The sequence below is a fragment of the Homo sapiens genome, chromosome 2 (genome assembly GCF_000001405.40).
Source record: "Homo sapiens chromosome 2, GRCh38.p14 Primary Assembly".
Classification (NCBI taxonomy): Eukaryota; Metazoa; Chordata; class Mammalia; order Primates; family Hominidae; genus Homo; species Homo sapiens.
This window is the reverse complement of record NC_000002.12, coordinates 46,239,678-46,260,326: the sequence shown is the minus strand read 5'-3', so window position 1 is coordinate 46,260,326 and position 20,649 is coordinate 46,239,678. Positions and strand designations below refer to the sequence as shown.

General features: G+C 41.8%; 2 long non-coding RNA genes and 1 pseudogene across 3 annotated transcripts in view, besides 1 other annotated feature; 2 read left to right on the top strand and 1 right to left on the bottom strand.

The window, feature by feature from the left end:
* Positions 1 to 13,890, bottom strand: part of LOC101926974 (uncharacterized) — a 44,062-nt gene extending 30,172 nt beyond the window's left edge. Inside the window, exons 1-2 of one of the 2 annotated variants that reach the window (XR_940051.4) lie at positions 13,860 to 13,890; positions 2,218 to 2,254 (exon numbers count right to left, since the gene is read on the bottom strand). This is a non-coding gene — a long non-coding RNA (uncharacterized LOC101926974). Of the gene's footprint in view, positions 1 to 2,217; positions 2,255 to 2,471; positions 2,566 to 13,859 lie in introns of those variants that run through there. The other variant, XR_940050.4, reaches the window with a different exon arrangement.
* Positions 3,152 to 3,467, top strand: RPL36AP14 (ribosomal protein L36a pseudogene 14; annotated as a pseudogene).
* LOC105374581 (uncharacterized) lies at positions 3,395 to 7,917 on the top strand. Its single transcript, XR_940052.3, has 3 exons — positions 3,395 to 3,690; positions 4,825 to 5,120; positions 7,066 to 7,917. It is a non-coding gene; the product is annotated as an uncharacterized LOC105374581 (long non-coding RNA).
* Positions 20,600 to 20,649: an enhancer, noted in NCBI's record as "active region_15701". NCBI's record gives its function as "activates an Ori minimal core promoter by ATAC-STARR-seq in GM12878 lymphoblastoid cells {active_cell/tissue: GM12878}" and the evidence as "EXISTENCE:reporter gene assay evidence [ECO:0000049][PMID:35858748]".

Here is a 20,649-nt window from a genome sequence, read left to right as displayed (position 1 = left end):
CAAAACAAAAAAAAAGGTAGACTTTTCTCAAAACCGTGTTGACTTTCTGGTCAAAGATTAAACTAAAAATTAAGCAGAAGTACAAGCAGATTTGTGAACGGCTACTAGTCTCATTATCTTCATAAAATGAAAACTTGGAAAAAACCTAAATATCCAACAATAGGAAATTAGTTAAATAAATTGTGAGACAACAAATGAGGGAATACTATGGAGCCATTCCAAATTATGTTTTAAGAGAAATTTTAATGACATAGGAATATGCTTATGCTGTAACATTCAAGGAAAAGAAGAGGATGCAACATTATACAGAGTTCTATACAGCGCATGTGTCTGTGCTTAAAAAAGAGCTCTAGCTGGAAATATGCCAAACTGTTAACATTGGCTATCACTGGGTTGTGGGATTATAGGTGGTTTCTTTCTTCTCTACACTTTTTTGTATATTTCAAAATTTCTCTAGTAAGCTTTGTTACTTTTACAATAAAAAATTACAGTAAAAGTTATTAAAACAAATTTAGCAAAGTTTTCCCTGCATTCTCCCTGACTCTGGGTAGAGTTCCCAGGACCTTTCCTCTCCCCTGCACCCTGCCCAGATAAATAACAAGCAGATAAATATTTCAAAGGTCCTGATCTCAGATGCTGCCCAATTCCAGCAGCAAATTAAAGGGACACTGCCCTGCTCACTGCCCTGCTTATGTCCTTGGAACACCCTATTTTTATGGCCAGAAGCCCTAACGCTTCTCTCAGGAATCTGGACAGGCCTTACAGGAAGCAGCTGGTCACCCACAGAATGGTGGAAAAGGAGGAGTGGATGTAGAAGGCCCCCATGGCTCCTCCTGTTCAGGGCAAGGAATATTCTGTTAAAAAACTAACACATGAAGTGTTATCAGTCATTAACACCTCAGTGTGACTGAGCTTGTCAGTTTCCTGAGAATGGGTTGATAAGAAGAGAAGGAAGCCACACCTCCAAGAATAATGACAAAATCAAAGTTAAATTTCTTTAGCTTCTTGGACATTGACTCTGAAAAGTGGCTTCTATAAATACACAAAATTAGCAAGGACTGAGGTCATTTAGGGACAGAGGCTGTCTGTCCTAGCTTTACGCTGGTGTATTAGTCCATTTTGCATTGCATTTACCAAGGCTGGGTAATTTATAAAGAAAAGAGGTTTATTTAGCTCATGGTTCTGCAGGCTGTACATGAAGCATGGTGCCAGCATCTGCTTCTGGTGAGGCCTCAGGAAGCTTGCATCATGGTGGAAGGCAAAGGGGAGCAGGCGTGTTACATGGTGAGAGGGAGCAAGAGAGGTGCCAGGCTCTTTTAAGCCAGTTTTCACGTGAATGAATAAAGCAAGACTTCACTCATTATCACGGGGAGGACACCAAGCCTTTCATGAGGGACCCGCCCCCATGATCCAAACACCTCCCACCAGGCCCCACCTCCAACACTGAGGATTGCATTTCAACATGAGATTTGGAGGAGACAAATATCCAATCCATATGAACTGGTAACAGCTGGGAAGCTTAAAAAAATATACCAATGCCCAGTACTACCCCAGAGATTCTAATATTCTTGGTCTCAGGTGGGATCTGATCATCAGTATTTTCTTAAACTCCTCCACCCCCAACATTCCGTCCAGGATTGAGAAGTATTAAATTTATGTATCTTCTTCCAACAGCACTTTGCTGTTAAAAGATAAAGCACAATTGATCCTTGAACAACACAGGTTTGAACTGCGGGTGTCTTCTTGTACACAGATTTTCCTCCACCTCAGCCACCCCTAACACAGCAAAACCAAGCCCTCCTCTTCCTCCTTCTCTCTGCCTGCAACAAGGATGAAGACCTTTGTGATAATCCACTTCTACTTAATAAATACATTTTATTTTCCTTAAGGTTTGCTTAATAACACTTTTTCTCTAGCGTACCTCATTGTGAGAATACACTATATAGTACATATAATATACAAAATATATTTTAATCAATTATTTAGGTTCTCAGTAAGTCTTCCACGTTAACAGTAGGCTACTATTAATTAAGTTTTCGGGGAGCCAAGAGTTTGACATGGATTTTCAACTGCATGAGGGCATTATTCAAAGGTGAACTATAATTTAAAGATTGCTGCTAATAAAAGCATTCATAAGCACGTGACAATAAGCACGTGACAATAAATGATTTCTTCTTTTCTGAGGAATAATTTAGGATTGAAAAAAAAAGACCCTACCTTACACTTGAGCATAATCAGGATTCATAGCTTCATTCTGTTAGAAAGAGAAACAAAGAAAACGATCAGAGATGCCAAGAAAGATTTGTTTGCAAAGATGTTATTTATAACATCAAAAATTTTGAGGTAACATTATCATCTGTTGTTTTTGATTCCTCGAAACCTGGAACAAATTGAAGTTGGTCAAGAAACGAAAATAAACCACAAGAATACAAGCAGGTAAAATATGTTAAACTGATAGTAAATTTTTAGACCTGGGCATGAGGATAGTTCTCTACCTCTCTGTATAAATTGAGTCCTTCTGTTTGCAAATAAAGGTAGCTGGGTTAATTCAGCTACTGAGGGCTTTTTGAAAGTGTACAGAGCGTAATGAACAGGAAACAACCTCAAGTGCACTACAAGCCAGATCTCAGGGAGGCTGAATCACCAGCTGGAAAATATGTTATTGTTTAGGAACAACACAGCTGGAGTGACATGGGTGTTTAGCCAACCCCTTAGCAACAGATGCTGAAGTTCCTTCTGTCAAACTGCATCATTATGGCGACTGAGCCACTCTTATCCTCTGGCTACGCAGCTCCTACTACTCCTGACTTTCTGAGCCTTTCCAGGGCCGACAGCCTGGAAGGACTCTAATTTGTTCTGTTTTTGTAATTCATTACATCAACAAATATTAATTAAACATCAATCAGTACCCAGATTTTTTTAGGCATCCCATCAGGCCTGGTGGGAGGTGTTTGGATCATGGGGGCAGGTCCCTCAAGATACAGTATTAAGCAAAATGCGCAAAGTTCCTGTGCTCCTGGTGATTATATTCTAGTAGAGGAAGACAACAAAATTACACAGACACATCAGGTGACAGGCTCCAGCAGGGCAAGGCAGAGAGGGCAGATGCCAGATTTCCATTTTCACCGTGTAGACACCTTCGCTGCAAGATGTCAGAGTACCTGGAAACCGAAGAACTTTCTATAAGAAGTGTGGTACACATCAGCCTCACAGAGCCACCCGGTATAAGAAGGGCAAGGATTCCCTGAGTGCCCAGAGAAGGAGTGCTGTGATGGGAAACAGAGTGGCAATGGTGGGCAAACAAAGCCAGTTTTCCAGAGGAAGGCTAACATCACCAAGAGCTTTGTGCCAAGGCTGGAACATGTCGCACCCAACTGCAGATCAAGAGGATGCTGGCTATTCAGAGATACGAGCACTTTGAGCTGGGAGGAGATAAGAGGAGAAAGAGCCAAGTGATCCAGTTCTAAACTTCAGGACTTTTTTGTTCTTTTAATTTTGAGGAAGTGACGTGTGGGGAAATACAAAGATAATCTTACTAAAGGTCACATGGTGCTACATGCAGAGAAGAAGGATAAAGTGTCAGAAAGGGAGAGAGAGTGAGAGGAGGTGCCATGTTTCACGGAGTGTAAGGGAGGACTTCTCTGAAGCTAAACTTCAAAGTGAGATCTGAAGACAGCAAGGAGACATCTGGTGAGCACCTTCCAAGCAATGGGAAGAGTAAATGCTAAGCCCTAGGTTGGGGGAGGCAGGGAAGGGTGCTTGCTGTATTTGAGGGAGAGCAAAGAGGCCAGTGTGGCTAGAACACAGTGAAGGGGAGAGGGAGAGGTGGAGAGATGAGACTGAGGCTCTAGAACTCATAGGAGGCCAACACCGCAGGAGTTCTTCTGGGCTCCTGTAGGGGATTTGTTCCTCTCTCCCCTACGAGGAGCTGGAAGCCCCTGGAGGGTTTACAGCAGAGGAGTGATGTGATCTACTTTTTTTTCTATTAGGATAATTTTTTTGAGCAGTTTTAGGTTTATAGAAAAATTGGTGGAAAGGCACAGAAAGTTCCTACACACCAACTCTCCTCAGGTCCCCCTGCTATTTACATCTTATATTAGTGTGGTACATTTCTTACCATTGATGAACCAATACTGATACGTTATTATCCACTCAAATCCATTCTTCATAGTAGGGGTCACTATTTGAGTTGCATATATCCTACGAGTTGTGGCAAATGTATAGCGTGATCTACTTCTACGTTAGGAAGGATCACTCTCGCTGCTGTGATGAAAGGATGGGGATGAGGATGGAGCAAGGAGAGGGTGCAGAGGCTGCTGCAGGTCTCCGGGTGTGACGTGGGTGATTTGGGACCGAGTGGTGGTTATGGGGGTGGAATAAGGCAGTCAGGTAGAGCCGACAGGAATTGCTGATTGATACATGGAGGGGGCAGGTAGAGAGCAGGGACAGAATTAAGGATGATGGCAAGGTTTTCGGCTGGAGTAACTAAAATAAAGTTGCTAGGATAGTGAAAATTGGAGAGGAGGGGTGGGAAAAGTCAGAAATTTGGTTTTGGATGTATTTCAGTTGAGATGCCATCCAAGTAGACATTTTGGACGGGAATCTAATATATACATGGTGTTCAGGGGAAAGGTCTGGACTGAAGTATATGTTGGGGATTATCAGCATATTCATTGTTGAATATGGACTGGATGGGTTAAACTAAGAGTGAGTATGGATGGTGAAGAGAAAGAGCTGAGGCCTGAACCCTGGGATCCTCCAACATCCAATAAATAAATAAATAAATAAATAAATAAATAAAGACATTTTGTTTGGATGTTGGAGGATCCCAGGGTTCAATCAAGAAATTCAAGAAAATGAAGTGAATCCTGCAAAGGAGGCCAAGAACCAGCCCATGAAGTTGAGAACCAAGAGATGGTGGTCTTGGACATCAAAAGAAGAGAGGCCACAGAGAAGAAGGAGTGATCTGACCACTGCATCGAATGCTGCTGGGAGGTGGAGGAGGATGAGCACTGAGAAGTGACTGCCATGCATCAGTTTGCAGCATGATAACCATTGGTGGCTCTGACGGGAGTGGAGTGATGGGGCAGAAACCTAACTGAATGAGTTTAAGAAATAAGGTAAGGAGAGGCCGGGCACGGTGGCTCACGCCTGTAATCACAGCACTTTGGGAGGCCGAGGCGGGTGGATCATGAGGTCAGGAGATTGAGATCATCCTGGCTAACATGGTGAAACGCCGTCTCTACTAAAAATACAAAAAAAAATTAGCCGGGCGTGGTGGCGGGCACCTCTAGTCCCAGCTACTCGGGAGGCTGAGGCAGGAGAATGGCGTGAACCCGGGAGGCAGAGCTTGCAGTGAGCCGAGATCGCGCCACTGTACTCCAGCCTGGGCGACAGAGCGAGACTGTCTCAAAAAAAAAAAAAAAAAAAAAAGAAAAAGAAATAAGGAAAGGAGAGGAAACCCTCCTTGCAGAAGACAGTGAGTTCAGACAACTCTTTCAAGGAGTTTTGAAATACAGTGGAGCAGAAGAATGAGGCTCTACAGGGTTGTGAGGTGATGGAAAAGTTTTGGGGTTAGGGATTGGGGAATGGAAGACCATGTGTCATGGATCACCCAGCCAGCATCTGGCGGGGAACAGCCGTGGGGTCAGAGACCTCATAGCTGCAACCTTGCCAGCCTAGGGTTGCCCATAACTACTCCGTGTCATTTTGGCTGTGGCCAGCGCTGGCTGTCATGTCTCCAAACCTGATGGCCCCCTAGGTGGGAATCTCCCAGGATGTGGGTGCAGCAGCCACCCAGACTTCCCAGTAGGAGGAAGCCTTTCTGACCTGCTGTGTCATGGACTGTGTGGCCAGTCCATGATGATCTCTTTCTTTAAAGCAAGTGACCCACTTCTAAAATAATTCCAAGAAAGACAACCACTTTTGTTGGTAACACTGAGCATCTGTGCTGACGGTTGCGTAGCCATGTCTGTATTGGTCATCTGCCTTCCTCTGCAGGAGAACTTCACATTCTTCTAAGCTCCTTCACAGACGGATCTCATTTGGATCTCCAAGCCCCCATGGGGTAGAAGGGGTAAACATTATTTCCGTCATTTTATAGTTGGAGACCAGAAAGTTTAGAGACTTGACCAGGGTCACACAGGAAGCTGGTATTAGGGTCCAGGTATCCTGATCCAAGACCAGTGATCTGGATTTTTTCGGGTTGCCTGGGTAGCCAGCCTGCTCTCAGCCCTGTGGAGTATCAGAAATGTTTTGTCTACAGTGGGGTTCAGGGCAGGGTCTGAGCCTCATGAGCCCACATATGTTCCACACGTGGTGGTATGGCAGGTGTCTTTAAAGGTCAGGTCCAGACAGCACCATCAGGAAGCTCTGACCCAGGCCGAAGACCCCCCCCCTTAGGCGTGAGGGGGCCTGAGAGAACCATCAGATTAACACTCCATTCCACATGCAGGGCCTTCGAGCCTGAGAGCAGGTGGACACCCAATTTAATGTCTTGGATCCCAGCACAGTTGCCACGTCTTTTCACAGATTCTCCTTACTGGTTTACTCTGGATTTCTCAAAGTCTTGACAATAATGGCAATGAGACCTCGGCCATGTGTCAGTTCCTTGGGCCGTGTCACTCTCAGGCCTCGACTCTCACCTTAGAGAGGTTTTCTTTCTCACAGGGGCCCAGCCCCCTCAACACTCTACCCTGGATAAAGTCTGGCTTCTAGCATTACCCCCAAGTCCCTCTCCTTTCTAGGCCTTTCCACCTTGCTTCCCAGGCCTCTGGAAACACAAGACCTGCCTTCTGCCCTGAGGCTCCTTACAGGGCAAACAGCAGCTGCTTTTCCTCCTGGGGGAAATCAGTACTTCAGAGGGAGTGGCTCAGAAGGGCATAATTGCTGATGAGGACATTTTGGGTAGCTCCCAGAGCTCTGTGGGGACAGACGGCCTTCACAGTAAGCTTCAAATACTCTCTCTACACCTATGCCATGATACTGTGCTTTCCCTTCCAGCTACTCAGTCAGCTTTATTGGCTTTCTCTGCCCCTGTCTCTGTCCTCCCTCTCTCTTCTCCAGGCATAGCACCCATCACACTGACTGAGTCATCCGGAAAATGTGAGAAATCACTTAATAAAGAGCTGCCCTGGGGAAATGGACAGGTAAATGGCTTTAAATAAAAGATTTTGTCTTACGCTTAATTTAATAAGAACTATGCCCCAGTACCTTCACTAGTAAGAAAGATAGACAGCAGATAAGTGGAAGAGATGAACAAGCTGTCAGCACCAGAGCATGTAATCTCTGTGAGCTGAAGTTTCCCTCTCCGGATACAAATGGGGCCATGCCAGGGAAAGCAGCTCTCTGCTTTGCCCTGTAGAGAGGAGCAGGGACTGGGAACCAGGCCAGCCTGATGTCGATTCCAGATCCAGCACTTACTAGCTGTGTGACTTTGGGGAAACTACTGAGTTTCTCTGAGTTACATCCAGGAAACAGGGGTGACAAGGCCTATTTAACATGTCCATTCTACAAATATATGGGAGGTGCCAGACACCATGTTAAATGCTGGGGACACACAAGAAGGACCAGCTGTCAGAAACGCCACAGGCAGAGGTGAAATGGCAAGAAGACTGGAGCAATAGGGACTGAGCCAGTTCACAGAGGGGCTGGACAAGCTACACCATCACAGGGGAAGAGGTGCAGCTGGCATTTGATGGCACGTGGTCAGGAATCCTGGAAAATCAGATTCCTGTCCTGCAGATTATTTCTTCTCCCTTCCTCTCAGCCCCACAAAGTTCCCATTGGAAGGAACAGGAGCCAAATAGGAATCGAAATTGCACTCAATTGCTGCACAAGTGCAGGTCTTCGGTTGGGTTGAAGCTTGAGGCTTAGACGCTAAGCTGAATAAGATATCCTGCTTCCCCCCAGGCCCAAATCCAGTTTGTGAGCTCACCAGCTTCTGGCTGGGATTGCATAGCAGAAATCAGAGGTAGAGGGGAATTAATACAGCCAGGTTTGTACAGTAAAATATGGACTCATTTACTAAGTCAACTTGCTCCTCAGCTGGATGCAGAAAGACACATGGACGCACATGATTCATTAACGCACGGCATGCCTGCCTACTTCTCTATGGCACCAAATCGGCAGTTCTCAATGCTGAGCTTCCCAGTTAATACTTCTTGAAAGAGAGTTGGGAAGAAGCAGCAGAGAGGACCTTAGTAGGAGTGGAGGTTATAATAAATTCTCCTTTCTCCTAAATGAATCAGATTAAGACTCTGAAAGCCTAGTGGGAAACACCAAAGGCTATTCAGCCAGGTAAGTGGCAAGATAAGATTTGCATCTTTAAGGAGTACATCTGCCGGTTTTCTTCCCTCACGATCAACCAGGAAGAAATGTGAGATAGAAAACTGTGAGGACACCCTAGCATGACAGAAACTGTTTTGATTTGTGGTGTGGGAAGTGACTGGCCTGGGGCTAGACGTGTTCTGGCTTCTAGCACTTCCTAGGAGGCTAAACTGAGCAGTGAACTGCTGGAGTTCTGCTCCTGCTTTTCTACCACCATTTCTCTGGTCAGACAGGTGCTGTCCTCATACCTCTGGTGCCTCAGAACTAAAATCAGACAGAGCAGGAGCCCTGCGCTCAAAAGGAAGTGACAAAAATATGTAGGGACCAACTGGCCTCCTTTCCTACTCCATCTCCTTCCAGTCCTAAGGGCTTGGAAATTACACCCTAGGGAGTGTCTCCTCCTAATGCACTTCTCAGTCTGGGGCATGGGAGGAGGAGGAGAAAAGACCAGAAGTGGCCTGGCAGTTCTTTTGTAGATTGAGCAGTGATTGACTGTGTTTTATGGGAGTGAGGACAGACCTGTGTTATGACTTTAGTGAGTTCTGTGTACCCTTCCCTCATAAAATATATTAAAAATCATATTTTATAGCTGCATTGATATAAAGATGAAAATAATCCAGGCTGGGCCGGGCGCGGTGGCTCACGCCTGTAATCCCAGCACTTTGGGAGGCCAAGGCGGGTGGATCACCTGAGATCGGGGGTTCAAGACCAGCCTGGCCAATATGGTGAAACCCATCTCTACTAAAAACACAAAAAATTAGCTGGGTGTGGTGGTGGGCACCTGTAATCCCAGCTACTTGGGATAATGAAATGGGAGAATTGCTTGAACCCAGGAGGCGGAGGTTGCAGCGAGCCGAGATTGTGCTACTGCACCGCAGCCTGGGCACAACAGAGCAAGACTCCATCTCAAAAAAAAAAAAAAGAAAAAATCCAGGCTGAATTCGTTCATTGTTCTATATTCATTACTATTATACTTATTTCTTTCTTCAGCTAGTGAAATAAACTAGAAATAAAACACTTCTGTGGGTGCTTAAAAATGTTGTGGACCCTAGGCACCGTGTGTGCTGCAGCTGGTAGATAAGCTGGGCCTGGGTGCGGACTGTGGTTTTCAGGTGCTGGAAGCTCTCTCCACCCTCAGGTTTATTCATTGCCATCTCTTGAGTCTTCTGAAATCTTCACAGACTAGAATCTGGCCCTCCCCACACAGTTATTGCCTGACACATTAGCCAGTACCCTTAGGAGAAAATGAGCCCCCAGCCCAAATAGGCCGGCAATTTGAAAAGCTTGTAATATAAGAACCAAGTAGAAGTATTAGTTAGGAGCTTGTACTCTGATTAAAGAACACAATAGATGGATAAATAGCAGGATGATTACAACCTAGAAATGAATTCCTAAGCCCAAAATTGAAATGGAAAAAAGCTCTCAAAGAGAAAAAGGAAAGAATTAGAACACATGCAAGGGAAGTTAGGGGATATGAATTTGAGAGGTGGAAATGCTAATGTCTGTTTAATAGGAATTATGAGAAAGAGAAAAAGGGATAAAATACCTTATGAAATAATAGATATGTATTTCCTGAAATTAAAAAAGAAAAACCGAGCAACCTCAGATTGAAAGGACCTATAAGAGCACCAAAGAGGAGAAAAAAGGGAAGACTCATACCTATCTATAATGCAGTGAAATTTAAGACAATCAAGGACAAATATTCTAAAAGCCTAGAGAATTCATCAGGGTGCCTGGATATAAAATTAATATTCAAAAGTTGGTCGGGTGCGGTGGCTCACGCCTGTAATCCCAGCACTCTGGGAGGCCGAGGCAGTCGGATCACAAGCTCAGGAGATTGAGACCATCCTGGCTAACACAGTGAAACCCTGTCTCTATTAAAAAAATACAAAAAATTAGCCAGGCGTCGTGGTGGGTGCCTGTAGTCCATTAAAGAATATAAAATATGCAGGCATAAATCTAACAAGTGATGTTGAAGAACAGGGGAATGTTATTAAGAGATACTTAAAATACATAAATGGATGGAAAATACTTAATTTATGAACTGACAACCTGATTATCATAAAGATGTCAATTCTTCCCAATATGATCTATAAATTAAATGCAATTCCATTGAAAATCCATTAGGAGGCTTTTAAAAATGGAACATGAGAAAACAATTCTAAAATTTAATTGAAAAACCAAAGGGCCAAGAATAGGGCCCTTCTGAAGATGAGCAGGAAATTGCCTTACTGCATATCAAGACTTATTTTTAAGCTCTTGTGGTCAAAACAATGTGGTATCCCAGGGAGGTGTAGGTATAGACAAATTGATCAATGTGATAGAACAAAGAGTTCAGACCAGGAGGTGGAGGTTGCAGTGAGCTGAGATGGCGCCACTGCGCTACAGCCTGGGTGACAGAGCAATACTCCTCTCAAAACAAAAACAAAAACAAACAAACAAACAAACAAAAAAACAGAGCATTCAGAAACAGATTCATATAGCATGAAACTGTGGTAAATAATAGATGTCATACATTCAACCAGTGGGGACAAAAGGGATTAGTCAATAAATGAAACTGGGCGAAAATGGTTACTCAAAGAAAAATAGATTAAATTAGATCCTTTTACAGCTACAAATAGATTAGACTTAAATGTCAAGAACAAAACTTTAATATTCTTAGGAAAAAATATGTGTGAATATCTTTTATGCCTGGGGGTAGGAAAGGGTTTCTTAAAACACAAAAAGCATTGGCTAAATATAAAAGATAAGGCCGGGCGCGGTGGCTCACGCCTGTAATCCCAGCACTTTGGGAGGCCGAGGCAGGCAGATCACGAGGTCAGGAGATCGAGACCATCCTGGCTAACATGGTGAAACCCCGTCTCTAGTAGAAATACAAAAAATTAGCTGGATGTGGTGGTGGGCGCCTGTAGTCCCAGCTACTCGGGAGGCTGAGGCAGGAGAATGGCGTGAACCCAGGAGGCAGAGGTTGCAGTGAGCCGAGATTGCACCACTGCACTCCAGCCTGGGCGACAGAGCGAGACTCCGTCTCAAAAAACAACAACAACAACAACAACAAAAATACATATATGATAAATTGATTTGATTATATTAAAAGTAAGAATTTTTGTTTTTCAAGAGACAATTTAAAGTAAAAAAGATAAATTATACATTGGGAGAAGATATTTGCAATATACGCAACTGACAAAGATTAGTATCAAGAATATTTTCATATATATAACAACCATTTTAAATAAGAGGATAGACCCACTCAACCCGACAGAAGGATGGACAAGAGACATGACCAGAGATTTCACAGAAGGGAAACCATATGGCCAATAAACATGCAAAGATGTTCAACGTCATTGCTGATTAGGAAACACAAATCAAGATCATAATGAAACACTGTTTTGCATCCATTCAATTGGGAAATATTTTAAAAGTCAAACAATATCAAGTTTTTAGAGTGTGTGGATCCACATTTCCAGGGTCTCTTGTACATTACTAGTGGGAGCATAAATTGGTGAAACCATTTCTATAAAACAGCTTTGCACTATTTTCTAAAGTTGAAAATAAACATAATCTATGCCCCAGATTTTCACTCACTCACATGTACTCAGGAAACACATGTAAGAGTTCATAGCAGAGCTGTTTACAATAGCCAAAGTCTGGAAACAATCCAAATGTCTATCTCCAGAGAGTGGAAGATCATACTCTGGCATATTCTCACATAGGGATTAAAATAAATAAACTGTAGTGATAGACAATAATATGAATAAACCTAAGCAGTATAATATCAAGTGAAAAATGTAACTTTCCCCAGACTACATGCAGCATAACATCACTTTTACAAAGTTAGGTAAAAATTTTAAGATTACATTTAAGAAGTTATATGGATACAATAATAATATTAAAAAGCAGTACAAGAGCATTTCTATACACCAATAAGATCCAAGCTGAGAGCCAAATCGAGAATACAATCCCATTTACAATAGCTGCAAAATAAATAAAATGCCTAAGAATAACAGCTAACCAGACAGGTAAAACAAAAGAAATCATAGATGACACCAACAAATGGAAAAATATCCCATGCTCATGGATATGAAAAATCAATATTGTTAAAATGGCCATACTGCCCAAAGCAACCTATAGATTCAATGTTATTCTTATCAAGCTACCAATGACATGTTTCACAGAACTAGAAAAAACTACTCTAAAATTTATGTGGAAGCAAAAAAGAGCCCAAATAGCCAAAGCAATCCTAAGCAAAAAGAACAAAGCTGGAGGTATCACATTACCTGACTTCAAACTATACTACAAGGCTACAATAACCAAAACAGCATGGTACTGGTACAAAAACAGATACATAGACCAATGGAACAGAATAGAAAACCCAGAAATAAAGCCACACACCTACAACAATCTGATTTTCAACAAAGTCAACAAAAATAGGGAATGGGAAAAGGACTCCCTATTCAATAAATGGTACTAGGATAGCTGGCTGGCTACATGCAGGAGAATGAAACTGTACCCTTACCTTTAACTGTATAGAAAAATTACCTCAAGATGGGTCAAAGATTTAAATATAAGACCTCAAACTATAAGATTCCTAGGAAACACCATTCTGGACATCAGCCTTGGGAAAGAATTTATGACTAAGTTCTCAAAAGCAATTGCAACAAAACCAAAAATTGACACATGGAGCCTAATTAAACTAACAAGCTTCTGCACAGCAAAAGACACTATCAGCAGATTAAACAGAGCCTACAGAGTGGGAGAAAATATTTGCAAACTATGAATCTGACAAAGGTCTAATATCCATAATATGTAAGGAACTTAAACAAATCAACAAGCAACAAACAAATAATCCCATTTAAAAATGGGAAAAGACATTGAACAGACACTTCTCAAAAGAAGACTTATAACAACAATCATTGTGGCCAACAAGCATACCAAAAAAAGCTCAATGTAATCACTAATCATTAGGGAAATGCAAATCAAAACCATAATGAGATACCATCTCACACCAGTCAGAATGGCTATTACTGAAAAAGTTAAAAAATGACAGATGCTGGTGAGGCTGTCGAGAAAAGAGAATGCTTATCTATACACTGCTGGTGGGAATGTAAATTAGTTTGGCCACAGTGGAAAGCAGTTTGGAGATTTCTCAAAGAACTTAACATAGAGCTACCATTTGACCCAGCAATTTCATTATTGGGTGTATACCCAAAGGAATAGAAATCATTCTGCCATAAATACACATGAATGTGTATGTTCATCATAGTGTAAAAAGTAAAGCAGAGGTTCCTCTTCAAAGACTTTCCTCCCCATTTAATTAGGAAAAAATAGTAACTTCTCTTAGAAGCAAAATTTATTCAAAGACCTGTGCTAGCAGTCCTAAATATCTGCTAGCCATGATAAATAAATCAATGTACTTTATGTTCTTAGCTCCCACAATTTAGCCTAAATATTTGCCCTGGCATGCTTATACTGGTCCAAGCAAGCATTAGATAATAGCCTGTTCCTCTTCCTTATTTGAAGGTGTTTTTTACCTTTCTCAGCATTCCACAAGTTACTTCCTCCTTCCTTTGTTCTCCTCTGCCTTTGCCTCTTTAAAAAAGTTCTAAGTTGCTAGCCAATCAGGACAAATACAGAATGTGAGGTCCCGTTCCAGCCAATGGAAACCAGATACAACAGTAAGGTGGACGCATCAGGTTATAAATACCCTTCTCCTTTGTTCGGTGTACTCTCGTGGCAAAACTGCTGACAAGTGTACTCTTTCTGCAGGAAGTAAAAATGGCCTTGCTGAGTAAATTAAATTTATGTTCAAGTGCTATTTCTCTATGGCACCGGGGAACAAGCATTTCCAACAATAGCGCTATTCACAACAGCAAAGACACGGAATCAACCTAGATGTCTATCAACAGTGGACAGGCTAAAGAAAATGCGGTACATATACATCATGGAATACTACGCAGCCATAAAAAGAATGAGATCATGTCCTTTGCGACAACGTGAATGGAGCTGGAGGCTATTATCCTAAGCAACTTAACACAGGAACAGAAAACCAAATGCTGCATGTTCTCATAAGTGGAAGCTGAACATTGAGTACACATGGACACAAATAAGGGAACAACAGACCCCAGGGCCTACTTGAGGGTGGAGAGTGGGAGTTACCTGTTGGGTGTTACGCTGAGTACTTGGGTGACAAAATTATCTGTATACCAAACCCCTGCAACGTGCAGTTTACCCATGTAACAAACCTGCACATGTATCCCTTGAACCTAAAAGTTGGAAAGTTTAAAAAAAGAAAAAAGGGGTACAAGGAAATGAAGGATGCAGGATTCAGTATTATTATTACCTAATAAGTGGGGAAGGAAGGGAAAATTAGTTGTGAGAGGCGACCATACCATTGCATGTAAACTCATAGAGGCAAAGTAGATTCGTAGCCACTAAGGGCAAAGGGGTGGGGAACAAGCAATGACTGCTAATGGGTACAGGTTTTTTTGGGAGTGTGACGCAAATGTTCTGGAATTAAATGGTCGTGATGGCTGCACAACTTTGTTCATACATAAGCCCCACTAAATTGTGTACTTAGGAAGATGAATATTGTGATACAAGAATTATGTCTCAGGTTTTAAAAACAGGAAAAATCTCATTATAAAACTACAGTAATTAATAAAGTGTGTTTTGATTTAAAGATAAGTAAACAGATGAAGAGAAAATTATAGAGTCCAGGATTAGATCCACAGATAGATGGCCAGTTGATTTTCAACAAAGGTAAAGAAAGGATAGTATTTTCAACAAACAATTCTGGAAAAACTGGATGTATGTATGCAAAAAAAAAAAAAAAACCCAAAAAACCCTTTGACACATACTTTGAACCATATACAAAACTTAACTCAAAATGGATCATAGACCTCAATGTAAAACCTGAAATTATAAAAGTGCTAGAGGAAAACATACCAGAAAACCTTTATGACCTAGGGTTGGGCAAAGAATTCTTATGAACAGCACCAAAAAACATGTTCCCTTTTATTTAAAAAGAAATTTTCAAAAAAGTAAGGATAAATTGGACTTCATCAAAATTAAAAACCTCTCTTTAGGCCAGGCACGGTGGTTCACGCCTGTAATCCCAGCACTTTGGGAGGCCAAGGTAGGTTTATCACCTGAGGTCAGGAGTTCGAGACCAGCCTGACGAACACAGTGAAACCCCGACTCTACAAAAAAAAAAAAAAAAATTAGCTGGTCAGGGTGGCACATGCCTGTAATCCTAGCTATTTGGGAGGACGAGAAAAGAAACTCCTATGAAACCAGGAGGTGGAGGTTGCAGTGAGCTGAGATCGTGCCATTGCACTCCAGCCTGGGCAACAAGAACGAAACTCCATCTCAAAAAATAAAAATTAAAATTAAAAAGATAGAACCTCTCTTTAAAAGACATTTAAGAGTATGAAAAGAGAAGTCATAGACTGGGAAAAAATACTTGCAAATCACATTTCTAAAACAGGACTTTTATCCAGAATATAGGAAGACCTCTCAAAACTTTATAAAAACAGTAAAAATAACAATAATAATAACAATAATATAGCCTAATAATAAGTAAAGAGGGTGGTAGGAAACATTTGGAGATGCTGGACATATTTATACCATAGATTGTGGTGATAATGTCACAAACATATACTTATGTCAAGTTACATGCATTAAATATGTACAGCTTTTTATATGTCAATCAGACCTCAAAAAAGTGCTTTAAAAAATAGTTCTGGGTGTTACCTCAAAAGAAAAATAAAACCTCTACTGGAAGTAAGCAAACAACCCAATAAAAAATGAGCAGAACCTGTCAGCAGACACTTTACCAAAGACAGTAAGAGGATGACAAATAAGCACATGAAAAGAAGTTAAACTTCATTAGTCAGTAGTGATTTTTTTTTGTTTGTTTGTTTTGAGACAGAGTCTCACTCTGTCGCCCAGGCTGGAGTGCAGTGGTGTGATCTTAGCTCACTGCAACCTCCACCTCCTGGGTTCAAGTGATTCTCGTGCCTCAGCCTCCCGAGTAGCTGGGATTACAGGCATGCGCCACCATGCCCAGCTAATTTTTTTGTGTGTTTTTTGTAGAGACAGGGTTTCTCCATGTTGGCCAGGCTGGTCTCAAACTCCTGACCTCAAGTGATCTGCCCACCTCAGCCTCCCAAAATGTTGGGATTACAGACATGAGCCACCATGCCCCACCATGAAATGTAAATTAAAACCACAATGAAATGCCACTACTAATTTTAGTATGTCTAAAATCAGAAAGACTGATCATGTCAGGTGTTGGTGATGAGGTGGAAGAGCTAACTCCTGCACACTGCTGCTGGGAATATAAAATGGCACAACCACTTTACAAAATAGTCTGGTAGTTTTCTAAAAAGTTAAGTATACCCTACCATATAAACCAGTCATTCCACTGCTAGACACTTGCCCAAGAGCAATGAAATCATATGTATACCCAAAGACTTGTACACATATATTCACAGTAGCTTTGTTTGTAATGGCCACAACCAGAAACAATGCAAATACCCATCAACAGATGAATGGATAAACAAATAGTAATATATACCTACAGTGGAATACTACTTAGCAATAAAAACGAATACGCTATTGATAGACACAACACCATAGATGAATCTCAAAATAATTAAGCTGAGTGAAAGAATCCAACAAAAAGAGTACATGCTGTATGATTTTGTTTCTATAATATTCTAGAGAATGTGAACTATTTTATAAGCAGATCAGTGGTCACCTGGAGATGAAGGTAGGGTGGGAGGCAAAAAATGAATTACCAAGGGGCACAAAGGGCTTCCTTAAGCTGGATTCTTCCTTCCAAAGCTGGGACTGACGTTCTGCCAGGAGAGAATGTACAGAAATAATTTGAATGAATTAAAACCAAATCTGATAGCAGGAGACAGTTTTCTGATATAGATGTACAATGAGAGTTTAGGCCGGAAATTACTTTAAATGGGGTTTTTTTCCGAGGGGGATGTCTTCAATCTCTGTGTAAATATCCACATGCTTATGCATTGTAAACCAAGTGTATATATCTCTGTATGAATTTGTTGAACTGATTTTTGCTTCAAGAGAAGCCACATCTTTAATTTTATAAGGTTCCCTCCACCTGTAACCCTATACATGTTTGTAAACAGAAGGCTAAAATTAATAGTGATAGAATCAATTTGAGAATATCTGCTGAGAAACCAAAAAGTTCATTTTTTAAGTGCCTTGCTTAAAGAGGATAAAGATGATTCCTCTTGTTTATTTTTGGAAAGAAGAATGCACTTTAACAAACAGAGCGGCATGTGCAAATCCATGAAATGCGCACCCCTTCAGAAATCGTACTTTCTGAAAGCAGTACCAAATGCTCTGAAAGGCAGAGCCAAATGGGCTGTTGATCTCACTGCCTGTCGACTGAAGCTCAGATTCTGATCAATTTTGAGAGGAGCAGGGCTACTTCAAAAGAGCAATGTGGGCTGGGCACAGTAGCTCATGCCTGTAATCCCAGCACTTTGGGAGGCCAAGGCAGGCGGATCAGGAGTTCGAGACCAGCCTGGCCAACATGGTGAAACCCCATCTCTACTAAAAATGCAAAAAAAAAAAAAAAAAAAAAAAATTAGCTGGGCATGGTGGCAAGCACCTGTAATCCCAGCTACTCGGGAGGCTGAGGCGGGAGAATTGCATGAACTGGGGAGGCGAAGGTTGCAGTGAGCCAAGATCGCACCACTGCACTCCTGCCTGGGTGACAGAGTGAGATTCCATTTCAAAAAAAAAAAAAGCAATGTGAAAATGTGAATACGGCCATAAGCTTCAGATGAATCTGCAAAAATGGTGGGTCCTGTATTTCACCATTAACTAGCAAAACCAACAGAAAAACTCATAAAGAATAGTTTAAGAATCCTTCCTGCTGGTGTGCTCTCCTCACAATAGACTTTTGCAAATGGAGTTTTACAGTCTATATATTAAAAACGGCATAACAAAGTAGGCAGAAAAGTGAATGAGAAGCAAACAGGTGCACAACGAAATTTTGATGGTCTGGGTATGCTCATTATCTTGAATGTGGTGATGATTCCATGGGTGTAAGCATATGTCAAAACTAACAGATTGTGCTCTTCATTATCTGCAGTTTATTGTATGCCAGGCATACCTCCATAAAGCTGGTAAATACTGGCCTGTGTTCATAATTGGAAGCTGGATGATGGGTATATGGGAGTTCATTATCCTATTCTGTATGCTTTGTTTAACATTTTTTCAGTTAAAAAGAAAAAAAAATCCATAATTGTGATGGTCTGAAAATATGTTTACAAATTTGGTGATATGCCTCCCTTGCACAGGTGAAGTCTAATTCCCTTCTGCCCTTGAGTGTGGGCTGTACTTAGTGACAGCTGCTAATGAATAGGAAAGAGTGGAAGTGATGGTGTGTAATTCAAAGATGAGGTCATAAAAGGCAGTGTAGCTTCCTCCTTGCCCTGCCCTTCTCGAATTACTCACTTTGAAAGAAGCCAACTACCATGTTGTGAGGACACTCAAATAGCCCATATAGTAAGGAACTGCAGTCTCAGCTAACAGCCAGTGCAGAACGGAGTCCTTCTGCCAACAGTCATGGGCATGAACTTAGAAATGAATTCTCCAGCACAGTCAAGACTTCAGATTACAGTGCAGCCCCTACTGACATCTTGACTGCAATCCCATGAGAGATCCAAGTCAGAATCACCCAGCTAAGCCATTCCAGAATTCTTAATCCTGAGGAACTATGAGATAATAAATATTTGTTGTTTTAAGCCACTATATTTTGGCATAATTTGTTAGGCAGCAATAGATAACTTACATGCGAACATAAAAATTATTCAAAGGATAGGCAGAAAGATCATCCATATAAAACATGCTGGGCCATTTTAACAAAGTCAAAAGTTCCATTCAAGTACCAGCCTCTACAGCAGTATATCCTGGTTTCTCCAGCCCTTATTGCTGTCCTCTTTTATAAGCCGCTACAGACCTTGCTGTCTGGCCTGTGCAGTTTGTCTACACTGCCCTGGACTGTGGCAAGGCACAATCTTGTCTCTTCAGAGCCAGTCTTATAACCAAGACCAACCTTGTATCTCAAAAGAGGCTTGAAGATTCCAAAGGCCATCCTCTGCTTCCCTCATGACACAGAACACAGGGCAAAATTATGGACTTCAGTACCTTTTTTCCCAATTTTTTTTTATTATGGTAAAATACATACACATAAAATTACTATCTTATCCATTTTTAAGTGTACAGGTTAGTGATATTAAAGATGTTCATAATATTGTTTAATCATCACTAATATCTATCCCATAACTTTTCCATAAAACAGAAACCCTGTACCCATTAAATGAAACTGCATCCCCTACTTCCCCCAATCCCTGGAAGCCACCCATCTACTTTCTGTCTCTATGATTTTGACGACTCTGAGTACCTCATATTAGTGAGATAGTACATATTTGGGTTTTTTTGGTGAGAAAATAAATACTTTTTGATAGAAGTCAAGGAATCCAAACAGTACCATTCTCTACCTCATTCAAATTAGGGAAAGATTAGAAGTTTCTCTTGAGAGTGCTATCTCACTCCAGAGAATGATGGACTCAAAAATAAACAAGCATCAGAGGTAAGAGTCATTATCTCTGTTTTACAGATGAGGAAACTGAGCCTCAGAGATGTGAAATAACATTCCCAGGTTCACACACCTAGAAGTCAGTAGTGTCAACATTAGATGTCAGGTCTATCTTGAGAGGGTACCTCTATGTTTATGAGGAGCCCATGCCAGGGCCCAGCCTCTATCCACTGTAGAGGGAGATGGAAACCATCATGTTACAAAATAGTGGGCACATTACCCCAAGGATAACCTTTCAGATCCCCCGAGCCTTCTCCCCTGTCAACCGCCAGCTCCTTCCTCTGTGTTGCCTTCCCAGACTCCTCTGGCTCACCATGCCCTCCCCTCCTGAACTTAGCACAGCACTGCTGCTACCCAGCACCGCTTTCTGAATGTATCACCCATTTCCGGTGTGAGCAGACTGTGTGTATCTAGCTCACCTATGCATAGGGCAGGAAATGCATCTCAAAGCCTTCCCACTCAGTGTCTGGTGCTTGCCATGTCCTTGATTATTTGCTAAATTGCAGAGAATTGTGATCCCATAGCTGCTATTACTGAGCCTCTCAGATGCTAGGACTTGGGCAGCTGATTTCAGGTGAGCTGAGGCATCACAGCCCAGATCCTGTGGCACCTGTCAGGCACCTCTAAGGTGACTCCCAGGCCCGGACCATCCAACCAGGCTGCCCTCAGGAGGTCAG